Here is a 17477-nt window from a genome sequence, read left to right on the forward strand (position 1 = left end):
CTCCCAAATCTCTTTTTCTCCTTATATTATGTTTATATTATGTCTCAGTTAAAGATAAAGAATATATAACATAAAAAGAAAAGGTAATGGGCTAACACTTTTAAATTACATTAATGTATTTTGCATTAAAGTAATTTTTGGAAATACTTCCAGAAGAGGGAATTCCTCAAGGATCAGAGGATGGTTTGCACATAGAATGACACAATGTAAGCACTCAAGTTATCTTACCTTTCAGAGTCACTGTGCTATTATCGTTTATTTCGAATCTGAGGTTTAAATGCAGATATATGAAGTACCACAGAGATTAGAGTCTCAAGTGAGATTGACCTTACACAGTTCTGAACTGTTATAAACTTACTCTCTAAACTGATACCCCTACCTATGCTGGGGTGGGCTGTAGGACTAGGAGTTCTCCAAATGTAGTAAACAATGTTTACTAAAGGTTAAGAAATTGGAATGTGCTAATTTGAAGTTTACATATTTGTTATATTATCAAAACTCAACAGTAACCACAGCAACTGCTTAGACCTTAAACAACAAAAGAGTTCTCAGGGAGGATAATTTTGTCATTGACATTGTTTAGAATTGCTGGCACATGGTGATAATAAAAAGCAGACTGAGTTTTAGTAAGTTTTATTGTTGTTTTTAAATTCTCTACACATAATGCATGCCCTTGCGTCCTCCTGGGTTAGGCTGTTCCTACCTCCTGCCTCCCTTTGTAGGCTGCTGCCTTGTAGAGTTTATGCTCTGCCTCTGAAATACTACCAAGGAGATTCTTCCTCCTTGTTCCCAATACCACTATTTAGTTCAGGATCTTGGTGTTTCTCTCTCGGATAATTATAATTCTCTCCACTCTACTCTCTCCATCACCAGAAGTTCTTCCTTCCAGTTCATTCTTCATTACCAGAATTAATTAAAAACTCTTATCGTACTACTTTTCTACTTTGAACCTCTCAGTGGCTCTTCATTCATTACCTACATGAATATGTAAAATTCCTTAGCATGACATACAAGGATCCAACCTTAAACTATTTCTTTAGGATCAACCTTGGCTCCCTCTGCTCTAATGCAATCACATACCCCACAACCCTCATGAATATCATGCTTTGGCCCGCCTTGCCTTTGCATATACTATTACATACGCTACAGAGGCCTGGGATGTCTTTCCCTACTTCATCTCACCTGGGAACTATTTCCCTAGACTTTCAGACTCAGTCACTCACATGGCACCTTGCACAGACTTCATCAGAGCACACGGAACATGACATTATAAATTTTAATTTATACTCTTGCCTCCCTGAAATCACTGTGAACTCCTTCAGAACAGGGATAGTGTCTTACTCATTTTTGTGTCCTCATCACCTATCATAGTCATTCGCAAATAGCAAGTCAATGCCAAAAATATGCTAGCAGAAAAATGGGTTTGAATTGGTAAAGAATGAGGCAAGTGAGGGCAAATTGTGCCAACACTTTGGAGAGCAATTAGGCAAATTTCACAAGTGAAGATATCTCTAACTACAAATGAATCTTTTAAATACAATATTGAGGAAAAAGTCAGTTGCAAAGGAGAAACAGTATGATGTTTATACTGTATTTTAAAACATGCAAAATAATATGATGTAATAATATATTGTGTAGGGATACACATATATAAAGAAAAGTATGAAGAAAGAAATAGGAATCTGAGAAATCAGGCCAGTTAAGGGTAAAGGAGTGGGGATGAGACTGAGAAAGAGTCTCAGGGCTTCGACTATTTTATTTATTTATTTATTTATTTATTTATTTATTTATTTATTTATATTGAGACGGAGTCTCGCTCTGTTGCCCAGGCTGGAGTGCAGTGGCATGATCTCAGCTCACCGCAACCTCTGCCTTCCAGATTCAAGCAATTGTCTGTCTCAGCCTCCTGAGTAGCTGGGATTACAGGCACCTGCCACCATGCCAGGCTAATTTTTGTATTTTTAGTAGAGACAGAGTTTCACCATCTTGGCCAGGCTGGTCTTGAACTCCTGACCTCGTGATCCACCCGCCTCGGCCTCCCAAAGTGCTGGGATTACAGGGGTGAACCACCGTGCCCCGCCTGACTATGTTATTTCTTAAAATCCATGGAGGACATACACGTTCTCATGAAAGAATGAAAGAAAGAGGAAAAGGAGCAAATGAGGAAAGAAAAAGAAAAGAAAGGAAAACAAAAGATCCTACTTAGGTTGTCTGGATATAGGATTTCCATGTCTATACCCGGTGAGATCTCTAAAACATCATCTCTAGGAAGTGACTAATGTGGTCTTGACAATAGATTGAGACGCTTGTGTATAATTTCCCCAACTTCCTGGTTATTCACTTTATGTATCATTATTATTAACACAGTTTAAAAATAAGCAAAATAACATTCCTTACTTAATTTGTCCTTCCTTTGTTTTTCACCTTACAGCTAGCAGCTGCCTCATCCCATGTGGCACATTTCACACATATCTGTCTTAGTTAAAGCATACATCAGCCTTTAGGTTCTTCTATAATATTTGAGTGGCTACTAAATCTGATTTCCACTAATTATTTTATGCTAGCAGTAAAGCTACATGTCCGAGGCTACATGTGCAACTCAAAGGACTTTTACGGTGCTTATTTATTCTAGTTGGGCCTTACTATTTAAGGCAGAGGTAAAAGATCCTCAAAATAGTGCACAATACTCTCATTTTCCAGTTGACTGAGAAATTACAATATTAAAATTTAAGTAAGAGGGTTTAGAGGCCAGTTTTCTGTCCTAAGAAAGGATCTATGACCCAAACTCAGACAGTCTTGCTTCCTTAGGGATCAAGAGAGCTAATAATGGGAGCCCTAACTATCTGTGGCCTTAGATTGGCAGAACATGACAAGAGTAACCCACAAGCTCAGGCCAAAGGTTGCCCTGTCCAGCTGGCCTGGAGTTGAAATGGGGGAACCAGGAGAAGATTGTGCAATAATTCAAATGAAGCTGAACTACGGAATTTAGATTATGTTCTTATAGTTTGCTAAAAATTTTTTATATAATCTCTTCCTTTATGTGAAGGTAAAATAATTTGTCAATTAAAGCAGATGGTAGTAGATGCTTTTGGGAAGGCTTCCTCTAGACAAAAGGAAATGGAAAAAGCCATGAATTTCAGGAGGGGGCTTGTCACTGAGGTAGTCAGGCCCAGCAGGAATAATCAAAATTCACCTAAGAGAGTGTAAATGAAGAGAAAGAAGAGAATTAGAGTTTACCGAATTGTGGGCAGGTTAAGGGAGCAAGGAATGGAGAGGCCATAAAAGCTAGAAACAGTAAAATTTGCAAAGATCTGCTCCCTCTAGGGCCCAAGGGGATAAAGAAAGCCTGTTACACAAAGCCAGGGAAAGCTGGAACTGTGGAGGAGGGGAGCTTGCCGGCGGGAGCTGCCATCTTGGGAGTCATGGCTTCTGCCTGAACAGCCGTGCTGAGGCAGAGAGGAAGTGGAGCAGAATGGCCCCAACTTTCCCTTCTCCTATTACTTTCCCTGAAATGCAAGGGAGCTTGTGTGCTGTAGCCTTTGGGCATCAGTCTCTTGAGGCAGGGGCAGATTCTGGATCTGGGGGGACAGGTGCAGAGTCACCAGCACACCCTCGTTCTCAGGGTGCTCAAGCAGTGGTAGGAAAGACCAGCTGGCTCTTGATCTGGGGACTATTCAGTGGTCCAGCAGATGTGCGAAGTGATACCTGATTCACTTTCTTTCTCAGACAGTCCAAGGTCAAGGACTCTTTCAAATAATCAAGTTGCCTTTACCAAATTTCAAAGGCTCATTGAAAAATGTTAATTTACCAACTAGGATGGTTTTAAATCCTAAAATAAAAGCACAGTCAGCTTTTGTTAGAAAATTATTAAATACGACACCAGAAATCCCTGTGGCTCATAGACTGAGCTAGAAATAGGCCAAAAGTTTAGGCTTACTTATATTCAGCTTCTTTCAATCATGTCTTCCTCATGGCCCCATTTCTCACTTTCTTTGTTGGTGGAGAGCAGCCCATCTCCCTTGCTTTCCTCTCCTCCTCTTTAAATAACCCTAATCCTCCTCAGCCTTCTTCAGGCAAAGTCTCTGAAAACAGCCAAAACCATACCAACACCCATTATCTCCTCCAACATCCTGAACTCAACTTTCCATTTCAAAAAGTTGAGTTCAACTCTTTGAAGTCATCTCTTGCAAGATAATTGTTCTTTGTTGAAATGGAAAGGTCTTTTTAGCTGTAACTATTCTAAGCCTTCATTTAGTGGTGACAACAAAATTTCGCATGGTCTCACTGGGGGCCATAGGTAGGAAACGGCATGGACATAAGTGCTTCTTACAAGGCATATTTCTGGAATAGCTAGTAGAAGACTGAACAGAGCTAACAAATGGAATTCTATCCATCTGGGGATTGAAGTTGCACTATCTAAAGAAAGATGATTGCACTATCTAAAGAAAGATGGATTTCACTCCGCGTATCATAATTCCTCTATCATAATTTATAACAACTTGAGCAAAATGACATTTTCCCCTGTTCAATTGATGGAGCATATTTTCAGAGAATCAAAATAGATAAGGGTTTGTATTCAAAGGTGGGATCCATGTCAACTAGTCAATTTTGATAGGTTTCTCAATACAATTGTAGTGAATTAAATGTTAAATGAAAGAATCAAGAACGTTTCATATGTGGGGAACAAATTTCTTTAAAATTCTTTGTCCTTTTTTTTTTCTTATGCTTCTAATAGCTCTGTAACTACTTCTATTTCCCCAGGAACATGCACATTTAGGTATTACTTCTTTAGCATTTACATACAAAATGGCTAGGATATGATAAATCTACTTTTTGCCATTTTAAGAAATGTCCATGTATGTCTGTGTTCAGTCCCCATTTGTTCACCATGCACCTGGCAGCTGTGCAGTAAATGCTTGTTGAGTGAATGAATGAATTTCTCCTCCAAATGTGCTTACATTTAAGATAGCACAGCCTCTAGACCTAACTGATTGATCTGCCATGGGCATGACATGACACACTGCAATCTGTTCCTTGCAGTGGATGTAATTTCCTATAGTTAAGTCCTTTGGAGACAGCCTGAGGCAGCAGAAAGTCTGAGATCATCAGTATTTCAGTTCCAGCTCTACCTGGGTGACCTTGCCCAGATTATTTAACTCTAGGCTTTGGTTTCCCTTTCTGAAAAAATGGGGCTGCTCACCTTATTACCTTCTAGAATGGTTGTGAGGATCAACTAATATTTAATGCATTTAATGTTCAATATAAAGGCATAGAAATTGTTCTGTAACTATTAGTTTCTTCTCTTCTTTTTGGACTTGTCTGTACCAGGGTTATTTGTTTTAACTGGTTCTCCTGAGTGAGCTGCCATTCTTTTTTTCTTTAGGGCACACAGCTTAGCAATGTTTAAGTTAGTAGTTCCTTGTCTTTCTTCCTTGGAAGACTTAACTCCCTGAGCACAGAAACTGGATTCACCTGATTTGTTGCTGAATCCTCAGTGCCTTCATAGAGCAGATGCTTAATCAATATGTATTGGATGTGTCTTGGCATTACAGAAACACAGAATGCCAGAGCTGGGAAGGACTGTATCTAATTCTTAATTTTAAATTTGGGAAAACTGAGGCCTAGCGAAGAAGCAACTTGTTGAAAGCTGTTTACATAGAGCAAGGTGATGCACCATTAGTGCTCTAGTCACTCAACCACGCTTCTTGATGAGGATGATGATGAAGAAGAAAATGATGCTGGAAAACTGTGGCGTTATTGCTGAAGCTCACACCTCTTTTGGGCCTGCAAACAAACTTATGCTGTCCATCTCTGCCTTTCCCTGGAATACCCGGGATAAAAGTCATCTCTGTTCAAGTTTATCAAATTTATCAAGAGTCTCATAGAAGATATCCCATTAGTATGTCTCCCTTTTTTCTCAGGAAAGTGCCATTGTCATCAAAAGGTCTTAATACCACTCCCCAGTCATCTTGGAGGGGAGAATGCAGGTGATGGATGGGGTAAGGTGGAGTGACCTCTCTTAAGCAAACTCAGGTTTGCTCCATGAGTGTGTGTGGCTGAGTCCATATGGACACCCAGACTATCAGATAGTCCTCAGAGACAGCCCATTAGGCCTCTCTTATTACTTGGTTTGACATATGGCAATTATTCTCAATTTAAATACAATAATTTATAACTGATGTTTTAGTTTTTAACAGTTTTTATATAGTGTAGATAGAAATAGACCACGAAGCAAATAATGCAGATCCCTCATTAGCAAAGTCAACCTCAATAGAAGCCAGTCGTATGACATCCAGCTGTATCCCTGACACCTCCTTTGTTCCATTTGAGGGATCTGACAATGGGCCCTGGAAAAGGATGCCTCTTTGTGTAATATACACCAGCATGTGTGCAGGTGTTTCCCTCATGAATCAGAGGCAGATGTCTGCTCAGGCAGAATATGTGGCAGCTTGACATATGTCTGGCCCCACCTAACAGGAAAACTGTGGCCCATAAATTGTACTAATAAAATACCATCACTGCAATTCTGACTGAGCCATGAAACCAACACCTTCATCCTTCAACACTAAGGAAGGCTATACCCCACAGAGTGTTTGTAACCCGTTCCAAACTTAGGATTGTGTGTTGAACTCCCACTCTGTCATGTGTTTTATGAGTCAAATTTTATGAGACAAATGATAATGAAATTCGACTCCAAGTGCTCTTATTTGTAAAATGTGAGCAGTAGAACCCATTTAGCAAATATTTTACAACTCTGCTATGTGTCAAACACCTAAAAAGCCTCAGAAGAATGGATCTTTAGGCTAAAATCCAAGTATTTCAGAGTGGCAGTCGGCTCAGGGACACTGGTAACAAGGCCATTTCCAAATAGTTCATTAATAAACAAATACACCAAGCACCAACTGCTTACAGAAAGCAAGGCAGATGAATTACCATCCTGAACACTCAGCTCCTTAATTTGGGGAGCTTATTTAAAAAACAGATTTTGCAACAAGTGGTAAATATACAGGAATATAATTTTAACTACAGTATCACAAACCATTCATAAGCTACTTCTATTCCTTTTAAAGCATGAATGGTATTCAAAATTGCTACAGAATTTCCATCCTTTTCATGTTATTTAAGGGTATTTTGTATTATTTCTTCCCCTAATTTCCCTTCCCTAAGATTTCATTTTTAGATTTTTGTGAAATACTATTTAATGTAAATATGTATTTTCTTTAACTTTTCATTTATAAATAGCATAATGTGTACATTTCTTTTGAGTAAAAATTTTGGAGGATAGTTTCAGAATTGCTTTACAATATACCATCATTTTGTAGCTTTGAAATTTTGCCCCCAGATAACTGTTGTGATCGAGATAGCTATTCTGTTACAGCACGTTTCTAAAAGTGAAGGTAAAGAACACAAACTAAAGTGAAAAGAAAATGACTGCAAAGGGAATGGCAATGTCTGGGGTGCAACAAATCTAGTATTCACACTGCCATTTTAATGACAACAAAATAATACACATTTATGAAAGGAAATGAATGGGGAAGGCTGAGAGTATTTGATTTAAAGCAATTCTGTTATCTGTCATTTGAAGAAAAAAATTGTGCTGATTTTAAAACAATACTTTCATTACAGATGTTTCCAGACCCCTTCCCTGATCCAAGGAAACAAAATACCATTCAGCAACAGCCCAGATTTAGAGATGGGACTTGTTCCAATATAAACATTTCTTAGCTAGACCTTCTCCATGAAAGTGCATAGTCAATTTTTCCATATACAGTGGGAAAGACAAAGCTTTTAGCTTAAAAGGCATTCTCACTCGCAGCACGGAGCTCCTGGAATGAGCAGCCAGGGACACCGTGGTTGACTATTGATGTCACGCCAAATGCTATCTTGACTTGTTCTTCAGAATTACACAACAGAATCGTATCAGAGCATACACATACCATGAGCAGAAAAGTAGGCACTGTTTTGGATTTCAGTATTTGGTATGGTCATTTATTCATTTTGTCTCTGCTTCATGTACCACTGGCTATCCAGGGCCCAGCCCAGGGGCTGGCACAAAATGCGTTTTCAACAAATAATTGTGGAATGCATAAACAATTTTTTTTGAGCACGAATTTTAAAAGGAACTTGCACAGGCAATTTGGGGAATCAGAAGATGAATCATGGACCCTTCTGGCCTTCAGGGGTTCAATGGGGGAAATTTAAGCTGTATCTGTAACTTACTAGAATATCTGGAAGAAAGTGCTAAGAGCTATAATATCATGAGAGGTACAAAGAAATGCTGAGTGAGCTAAGAAGAGCAAGAGATTACTTTTAACATAGGGAAGAGCGGGAATCAAAAATGGTTCTTTGGTAGATGTGCGGTTTGTGGAGGATTTTCTGAAAGGAGGAAAGCTGAGGCTGAAAGAAAGCATAGGGCAATTTTTAGTTTACTCCTCATAAGGTAGAGAGGCTAAACTTATATTCTGTCTGTTGTTTCATTGCTTCAAGCAGGCATCTTTCACTCCTGGTAATCTCTCTCAATAAAAACACCAATGAATTTACTTTTTTTCTACTTGCTGGGAATTTCTTTGGAAGGATTAGTTTAATATCAGCAATTAAATTTTGTGACATCTTCAGCAACCTTCTGGCTTACAGTATACTCACATGGACACGCCACCCTCTCTCCACACATTGTAGATAATATTGGAGGCTTGCCCTAGTTCCTGAAATAAGTGTTAGGCACATCTGGAAGCCTTGTTAATCCTTTGGGGCCACCAGGATCCCATGAGTCACTCTCATGTGGCTTGAAAGTTAGGAATCTTGGAAGCAGTAATAATTTTCAAGTTATAACTTATACATAGGAAGAACGTCATTCAACTATAAAAACAAATTTTTTTTTTTATTTTTCATTCTGCCGTTTGATGCATTTTACCCAAAATGAGCTAAGCAAGATAATAAGAGGAACACTTGGTTTTGTGATTCTCTGAGTAACTGCGAGACTGGTTTAATGAACTTAGAACCTATCAAGAATGAAAACAAGAACCTGGTGCACCTGGTTTTTCAATACTCTACTGTCATCGGTATATGACAGTAGGTTTATGTCATAGGTTTATGACAGCTACTCAGTGACTAGCTGAGATATAGCACATAAAGTATTCTTATAAAGCTTTGACTACATTTTAGTATATTTTTTCTTTTTTGAAATTTGTTAATTTCTGGATGATTTGAACTAACTCAAAGGAAATTCATGCTGATTCATGACTTTGAGGAGAAAGCGCATTTTCTAGATAAACATGAGCTTGTGTTAGCAGATTAAAAAAAAAAAGAGATTGTAATCAAAAGAAAACCAACGTAGTTTAGATAATCTCAGATGAAGATCTAATGTCATAACTAAAAAACAGATCCAACACGTAGCTTTCAACATAACTGAATGGAAGAGAAGACAAAAAATGTGCTAAGAAAAAAATAACAGAATGCTTATTTCCACCGAACACTTTGATATACTGCATGTCCAAAAACATAGGGCACAGGAAAAATGTGCTTCATCTGCCAAAGTAACCACAAATACTGTTTGAGACCAGGAAGAGCCCAGCCCTTTAATAAAAACCTAGAAGTTTGGAGAACCTTACAAATATCTTTGGATATCCAAATATCTTCGGATATCCAAATATCTTCGGATAATACTCATAAAGATGATTACTCTGACCTTACACAGACATCAGCTTCATCTTAAATACAGTATTATTCTCACCATACTGAGGATCCTCCTGACATCAAAGACTAGGGTGAGAATGAGGCGTGAAAGTGCCCACCATTTTGAAAATGGACCATGGAATGGGCAGGGTTAGAACTGTCCTGCCTCCCAAAAACCTTCCTATTTTGCAGACCATGTGGGGCTGCCCCAAACCCCTGAAATACCCCTTTTTCCTTGTCCTCTATTAGGTTCAGGGCATATCTCAGCAGATGCTGTTCATAGCAAAGTCCCTGGATTATATCATAAAGTTCTGTAGTTCTGCTGGGAATTGGCAGATTTTCTCGAGAAACAGGTATTATATATATTTTTTTGCTGTTAGAAGACTAGGGTGATTTCCCTGTGACATTAACAGTAGAAAAATTCTACATATAAAAATGGAGCTGCTGAAACTCAGAATTGTTATAAATCAGGTTGACAAGGTCATGGAGGGGTACAAGTGCCAGAGTGGACCACTTTGGTGCTATCAACGTTTCATTTTCTTCATTAATTTCTCACATTTCAATTGTTTTGGTACATGATAGGGAAGTTTCTTAAGGTCATGTGGAAACCTGACCGATCACTGTGTACAGGAGGAATACCAGACATGATATGGTCTAGGAATTTTAAAAATTAATTCTTAAACTTTTAAAACAAAAATGTTATTGTTCATTTTTGAAATAGATCTTTCTTTCTTCCTTTTAAGATCAAGGATGTTTTGTTTATTTTTATGTGACCACCAGAAAACTCTAGCCGGAAATTCTGAAATTTTAATGCACTTGAATGCTTACTTTCTAAGTATAGGTGCTGAGAGCATGGTTTAAGGGGTTGATAGCATATGGGGCCAAGGCAAAAAATGCTTGAAATGAAAGAAATGGGATGCATGATTTGGTTATAAATTAAATTCAAAATTGAGATAAATATAATGACCAAAGGCGAAGAGAACTTTCAACGTTTTAGCAATTGAATTACTTAGTTCCAGGACACAGATGACTACATAAGTTATAAGGCGAAGGTAAACATGGATATATTCTTGTCTGATCCAGCTCACTTAATGTCTCAACACCCCCGTGACGGCGTCCCTGCTCTGTGATGCAGTAGAGAAAGACAACTGACCTCAGAGCCAGGAAACTTGGTTGTGGTTCCAGTTCTAGAAACCCTGTGTGGGAACTTGGGGAAGTGACTCAACTTCTAGCTCTGGTTTCTTCCTCTTCAATGATGTTAGCAGCATGATGATTTCCAGGCTCTTCACATTCTAACAGTCTAGAACTCTGTGAAACTTCCTGCTGTCTCAACAAGTTTCCACGCTAGGAGACTTTGGGCTTATCATTTAACATTTCCATGCTTTCATAAATTAGATGAATAACCTCCGGACTGCCTGGTTTGTAAGATGGTTGTGAAGATTAAAGGTGGAAATATATAGGAAAACACTTTGTAAATCATGAAAGCTTAATAAGTATCAACACTATTTTCTACCTGAGTCAGTAGTCATTGGAAATTCCAATATTTGGCAGTTGTGAATAACTGCCAATTTAACAGTTGTTCAATATCAACAGCTTTTTAAAAGCTGAGGTCTTCAAGCTACAGGTAGAAGGAGATAAAAGAAGCTTTCCTAATTCATTAGAACATCAGTTCTCCCCAGGTATACTGCAGATATGTTATAAGGCAAATTAAAACAAGCTGCAGTTTGCCTTCATGACACTATGAAATGCTTAGGTTGCTGCTTTTTTAATTCGCATGGAAAACTAAAGTTTTTGATGCTTATTTTCTTGATTTTTATAGACATAATGTTCATCATGGAAGTACTTTTCCCCTTTGGAGATCACTGGAAACAGCTTCTGGACCACAAATGGGGTGAACTACTGTATCGAGAAAGGAGAGAGTAAGACTTGAGAGCTATCTTTTTAGCTCAGGGTGCAGGTAAGAAACTGTGGTTTATGTTTCAGAATAAGATGATATTCATTGCGATGGAATAATTGGTTTAGAAGAATAAAAACTGAATGAACATCTGGTCCTTCCTATGAAGATCAAATGATAGTGGTTATCTGGTCTACCCACTACCATCCTATCCTCTCTCCGAAGCTCCTTTGTTGTTGTCCTCAGTACTCCCAGGTTAATGACCGAGACAAAAGTGGAATTTCCTAATTTCCTTGAAAAGGGCCAAAAATACCGTCAGACAGGGAACAGGAAGCATAAAAATATCTCTCAGGAGAGCACCAATTGTTTAAAGATTTCTAGCTCATGTTTGGAGCTATTACAGGGGTGCTCTGAGCATCAGCTGCTCAATGCAACCAGTGACAAGTACTGGCCCAAGGCAGACGTGTGTACTGCTGGGAAACTGCCTAGGAGGCACTGATTTGAATAAGATTTTGAGTAACATTTTGGAGACTAGTCTTGATGTAGAATATCAGCTTGGGAGGCCCCAGCATAGTGGTTCTCAAATATTTTAGAGCAGAGAATCCCTTTTTTAAAAACCAGTAAAATTTCATGTGAAATTCATCTATAAAACAGATAAAAAAGAGGCTGCTGTGATTGAAGGAGGTAGGGAGCAACCTCCCGCTGCTCCGGAGGACTTGAACCCTCAGGCATTTCCATGGAGCCTCAGTCTGAGAGCCACTGATTTAGTAGGTTTTATGTTGAAAGGTCTCTGCAGAGACTTCTCTCCCATGATTTAATACATTTCTACACACATCAGCAGCAACTTTGACTTCTCCTTCATCCTTACTCTTCAAACATATGACAAACCATCTTGACAGAACCTTGGCGATGATCCCAGCATCTGTTCTCTCCTTTCCAGACCACAGCTAGCATCCAAATCCAGGCCTCCTTAGGCCCTCCTGGATGGTTACCAATGCACGACATGGGTTATCCTGATTCCAGGCTCTCTGCCACCTATTGCCCAATCTAGCCAGGAGACTGTTTCCCGATTAATGTTGACAAATCATGATTCTCACTGTGTTTCTCTTTCTTCTGCTATGAAGTCTTTGATGGATCCCTGTGGTTCAGCCCAACAAACTGAGACTACTTCCCTTTCCAGAAGAAACTCTGTGTCTTTTTATTTACTCATCCTGTCCCCTCAGCTTGTATTCTTTTCCTCAATCTCAAAGATTCAACTCAAATGCCACCTTGCCCATGAAGTCACCTGGGAATGTTCCACCAGGAGTGAATGTTCCTTCTATATCCTTGAAGAGTTTTTGTAACATAAGAAATTAGTTGTATTGCATTATTAGTGTGCTTGTTTCGTCTGTGTTTTACTCATCTTTGTAGGATACTTGGCACTTGCTGAGGTAGTGTGCACCTTTTTGCTAAAAAAGAGAGTGAAGATATTGATACTGATCAATCGAGTGTCCCTGGATACCTAAGAAATACAATGTGGCAGTACAGAGCCTGACACACTATTTTCCATATTTCAAAATATTGAATTAAAAGTTGGCCAGGCATGGTGGCTCATGCCTGTAATTCCAGCACTTTGGGAGGCCGAGACGGTTGGATCACTTGAGGTCAGGAGTTCGAGACCAGCCTGGCCAACATGGTGAAACCCTGTCTCTCCTAAAAATACAAAAATTAGTCAGGCGTACTGGGCACCTGTAGTCCCAGCTACTCCAGAGGCTGAGGCAGGAGAATAGCTTGAACCCAGGAGGCAGAGATTGCAGTGAGCCGAGATCACACCACTGCACTCCAGCCTGGGCGGCAGAGCAAGACTCTGTCTACAAATAAATAAATAAACAAATAAATAAAAGTAATAGTGACATATTTATTAAAAATGTATAATTAAAATGAAGTGCTAAATATGGCTTTTGCTTAAAGTTAAAACAGGGCAATTACACGCACTATCTTATTTTCTCAGAAGATTTCTTTTGTGGTTATAAATTACTTTGCCTTATTAAGAAATGAGTTACTACTTAATACATTTCACTTCGTAGGTGTGATGAACTGAATTGTGTCCCCTCAAAATTCATGTTGAAACCTAACCCCTAATGTGACTGTATTTGGAGATAGTGCCTATAAAGAGGTAATAAATACAGATAATAAAGATTAAATGGGCTGGGTGCGGTGGCTCATGCCTGTAATCCCAGCATTTTGGGAGATCGAGGCAGGTGGATCACTTGAGGTCAGAAGTACAAGACCAGCCTGGCCAACATGGTGAAACCCTGTTTCTATGAAAAATACAAAAATTAGCTGGGTGTGGTGGCAGGCACCTGTAGTCCCAGCTACTTGGGAGGCTGAGGCATGAGAATAGCTTGAACCCAGAAGGTGGAGGTTGCAGCAAGCAGAGATCATGTGCTACTGCACTCCAGCCAGGTGACAGAGTGAGACTCCATCTCAAAAAAAAAAAAAAAAAAAAGAGACCTGAGTCTGGAGTATTTTTTATGGCATTTTTTATTGACCTTAAGCCACTCAGTCTGGATTATTTTTTATGGCAGCCCCAGCAGACTAATAAAGAAGGAAAAACATTTTAAAACATGAGGCTAGAGGAGGAGGAGAAATAGCAAAGAGATGCCTGCACATTAAAAGTTGGGGTAACATTATTCTCACACATTCCCCCATTCAGGTTACAATGCATTTCACAAGTGACTGCTGCTACAGTCCTTCTCTTAGTTCAGAAGGCCGGAAGACTACCTGGGTCTGTTCCAGATCAAGTCACTACTACCTTGAATGGTACCTTTCAGCACTACACTTGTATTCCTTGGGGTGCTGAATGAATAACTCACTATTTCAGACAAATTGTTTTATATAGTGCTTAAAGGAGTTAGCAGCCTATGTTTCTTTAAGTCTGACTTTTGAGGCCGGGTGCGGTGGCTCATGCCTGTAATCTCAGCACTTTGGGAGGCCGAGGCGGGCGGATCACGAGGTCATGAGATTGAGAACACCCTGGCTAACACAGTGAAACCCCGTCTCTACTAAAAACACAAAAAAATTAGGCAGGCATGGTGGCGGGCACCTGTAGTCCCGGGAGGCTGAGGCAGGAGGATGGCGTGAACCCGGGAGGCGGAGCTTGCAGTGAGCCTAGGTCGCGCCACTGCACCCCAGCCTGGGCGACAGAGCGAGACTCTGTCTCAAAAAAACAAAAAAAAAGTCTGACTTTTGAATCCTTTTCATTGTTAAATTTCCTTTCTTTTTCTATTGTCATTTGTAAAGAAACATTTTAAAAGGTAAACTGTTTCTAAACCTTCGTTAGTTGTCCTGATTGACATACTCTGTCTAATCATTTCTCCTGAGGTCATTTTTTTGTTTAATTGTTTTATTTTTAATCTTTGTATTTTTTTTAAAATTGTTGTGGGTAAATAGTAGGTGTATATATTTATGTGGTATGTGAGATGTTTTGATACAGGTATGCAATGGGAAATAAGCACACCATAGAGAATGGTGTATCCATCCCCTCATTTATCCTTTGAGTCACAAACAATCCAATTACATCAAGTTATTTTAAAATGTACAATTAAGTTATTATTGACTATAGTCATCCCATTGTGCTATCAAATAGTAGGTCTTACTCATGCTTTCTATTTTTTGTGTGCCCATTAACAATTCCCACCTCTCCACCAACCCCCTACTACCCTTCCCAGCTTCTGGTAGCCATCTTTCTATTCTCTATGTCCATGAGTTCAATTGACTTGATTTTTAGATCCCACAAATAAGTGAGAACATGCGACATTCATCTTTCTGTGCCTGGCTTATTTAACTTAACATAAAGTTTCATCCATGTTTTTGCAGATGGCTGGATCTCATTTTTTTATGGTTAAATAGTACTCTATTGTGTATATGTACCACATTTTCTTTATCCATTCATCTGTTGATGGACACTTAGGTTGCCTCCAAATCTTTGCTATTGTAAACAGTGCTGTGACAAATATAGGAGTGCAGATATTTCTTCTATATACTGATTTTCTTTTTTTCAGGTTATATACCCAGCAGTGGAATTGCTGGATCATATTGTAGCTCAATTTTTATTTTTTATTTTTTTTAGGAACTGAGGTCATGTTTTTACTACTGTGTCAGCTCTTTCCATATCCTTTTCAAGATCTTTTAAGTTGTAGGTCCACAAAGTAGACTCAGGACTCTATTGAAAAACCAATGCTCAGCATAGCTGGAGTCACATGAATATATATATATATATGAATATATATATGAATATATAGGAATATATATATGAATATATATATGAATATATATGAATATATATGAATATATATGAATATATATGATATATATGAATGTATATATATGATATATATATGAATGTGTATATATATACACATTCAGAAATCTCAACGACTGTTACTCCTCCTATGTTTAAGGGAAGGACTCCCCATTGTTACTGAGATGATACTTACTCTATAACTTAAAAACAAGGCCAAAGACCAAATATACCACTTATTTAAATGTTCTTTACAGACTTGTCAACTGCTAAGACTACTGCAGTAGTACGGGAAACCTTTATTAGCTGGGGTATTGCTAAGGCACTCTGAGACTTAGAAACAGATGTTAGAGGGTCATTATAATGTGAAGGTTAGGAGCTTGAGGTCAGATTTCCTAGCTATGACCATGAGTTACTTAACTGCTATCTGGCTCATTTTTGTCATCAGTAAAATGGGGTTAATATTAATGCCTTCCTCTTGGGGTTGTTATGAAGAATAAATGAATTTATAATACACATAAGTACTTAGAACAGTACTTGCAACACAGCAAGTGCTAATCAAGTGCTTAGTAATTATAGCTAAAATGCTGCATCAAGGATAGCTGGAGTCTGCAGGGAGAATGGGGACGTCGGCTCTGATAGAGAAGGAGACACAGACCTGACTCAAAAGCACTTTCCTGCAGATTTCAATCCCTATAGAAAAGGACCAGCTGGAGGAAGAGCAATTGGCAATTTTCATTTTGGGGAACTGGGTCTTCCCTGTCTCCTAACATTATCTTTCTAGTCTAGGACACAGACTGCACTCCTCACTCCCTGAAGACACATCCTGAATCAGAATGACTCCCTTGTTACCAAGAAAAACATCACAATCCCACTATTCCCTGAAAAGTGTGAGCAACATCCTATTTTTGAGCAGATTCCCCAAGTAAATTCTTCCCCTGCCTCTGCTCTACTTCCTTCAAGGACACAGAGTCTTCAGTGTTTTGGTATCTGGGCTATGGGTGCTGAGAAGAGTTAGGTGGGAGTAAAAAAACCTGCCATGTCATTTCATGTCTTTTCTCAAAAAATATGTTCTGAGCACCCAGTGTGTGTGTGCCATGGTTTCAGGAAGTGACTTTATCTTATCAGCTTCCTTTAGATGCCTCAAAGTAGCAGTTTGCTTTGAGGCTTGTGTTTTATTCTGAAGTACACATTTTCAGGTAGTATGGGTGAGCTTGTGAACCCCCTTACTAGACTTAGCCATAATTTATGTTTTTTGGGTCTTCCTCCATAATTATATCAAACATTTTTGCCATTTTCTGCATTTGCAATTTCCCCTACATCCATTCAAAATTCAAGCCCACCTGTATTTGAGAGCCTAGCATTTCTCATATTTTAATGTGCAGATAAACAGCCTGGGGATATGGTGAAAATGTAGATTCTGATTCTGGGGTGGAACCTGAGGTTCTGCATCTCTAACACATTCCCAGGTGATGCTGATGCTGCCATCTTTGGACCACACTTTCAGTAGCAATGTTTTAGACCCCTCTTCCCCATAGCCAGCGACAATCAGCGCATTTAGACACTAGTGCACACCCCTCACACACCAACAATTCTGACTTCGAGACAGTTCCTTGAACATATTTGCTT

The 17477-nt window shown here is 39.0% G+C and overlaps 1 protein-coding gene and 1 long non-coding RNA gene across 10 annotated transcripts in view; one reads left to right on the plus strand and one right to left on the minus strand.

The window, feature by feature from the left end:
• The window catches only part of LAMA4 (laminin subunit alpha 4), a 147055-nt gene that overhangs the window by 117357 nt on the left and 12221 nt on the right, over nt 1-17477 (minus strand). The window lies entirely within an intron of this gene.
• LAMA4-AS1 (LAMA4 antisense RNA 1) overlaps nt 11309-17477 on the plus strand; it is a 70088-nt gene continuing 63919 nt past the window's right edge. The window contains exons 1-2 of the long non-coding RNA NR_121193.1: nt 11309-11351; nt 11492-11629. This is a non-coding gene — a long non-coding RNA (LAMA4 antisense RNA 1). The remainder of the gene's footprint in view (nt 11352-11491; nt 11630-17477) is intronic.

The sequence above is a fragment of the Homo sapiens genome, chromosome 6 (assembly GCF_000001405.40).
Source record: "Homo sapiens chromosome 6, GRCh38.p14 Primary Assembly".
NCBI classification, from domain to species: domain Eukaryota; kingdom Metazoa; phylum Chordata; class Mammalia; order Primates; family Hominidae; genus Homo; species Homo sapiens.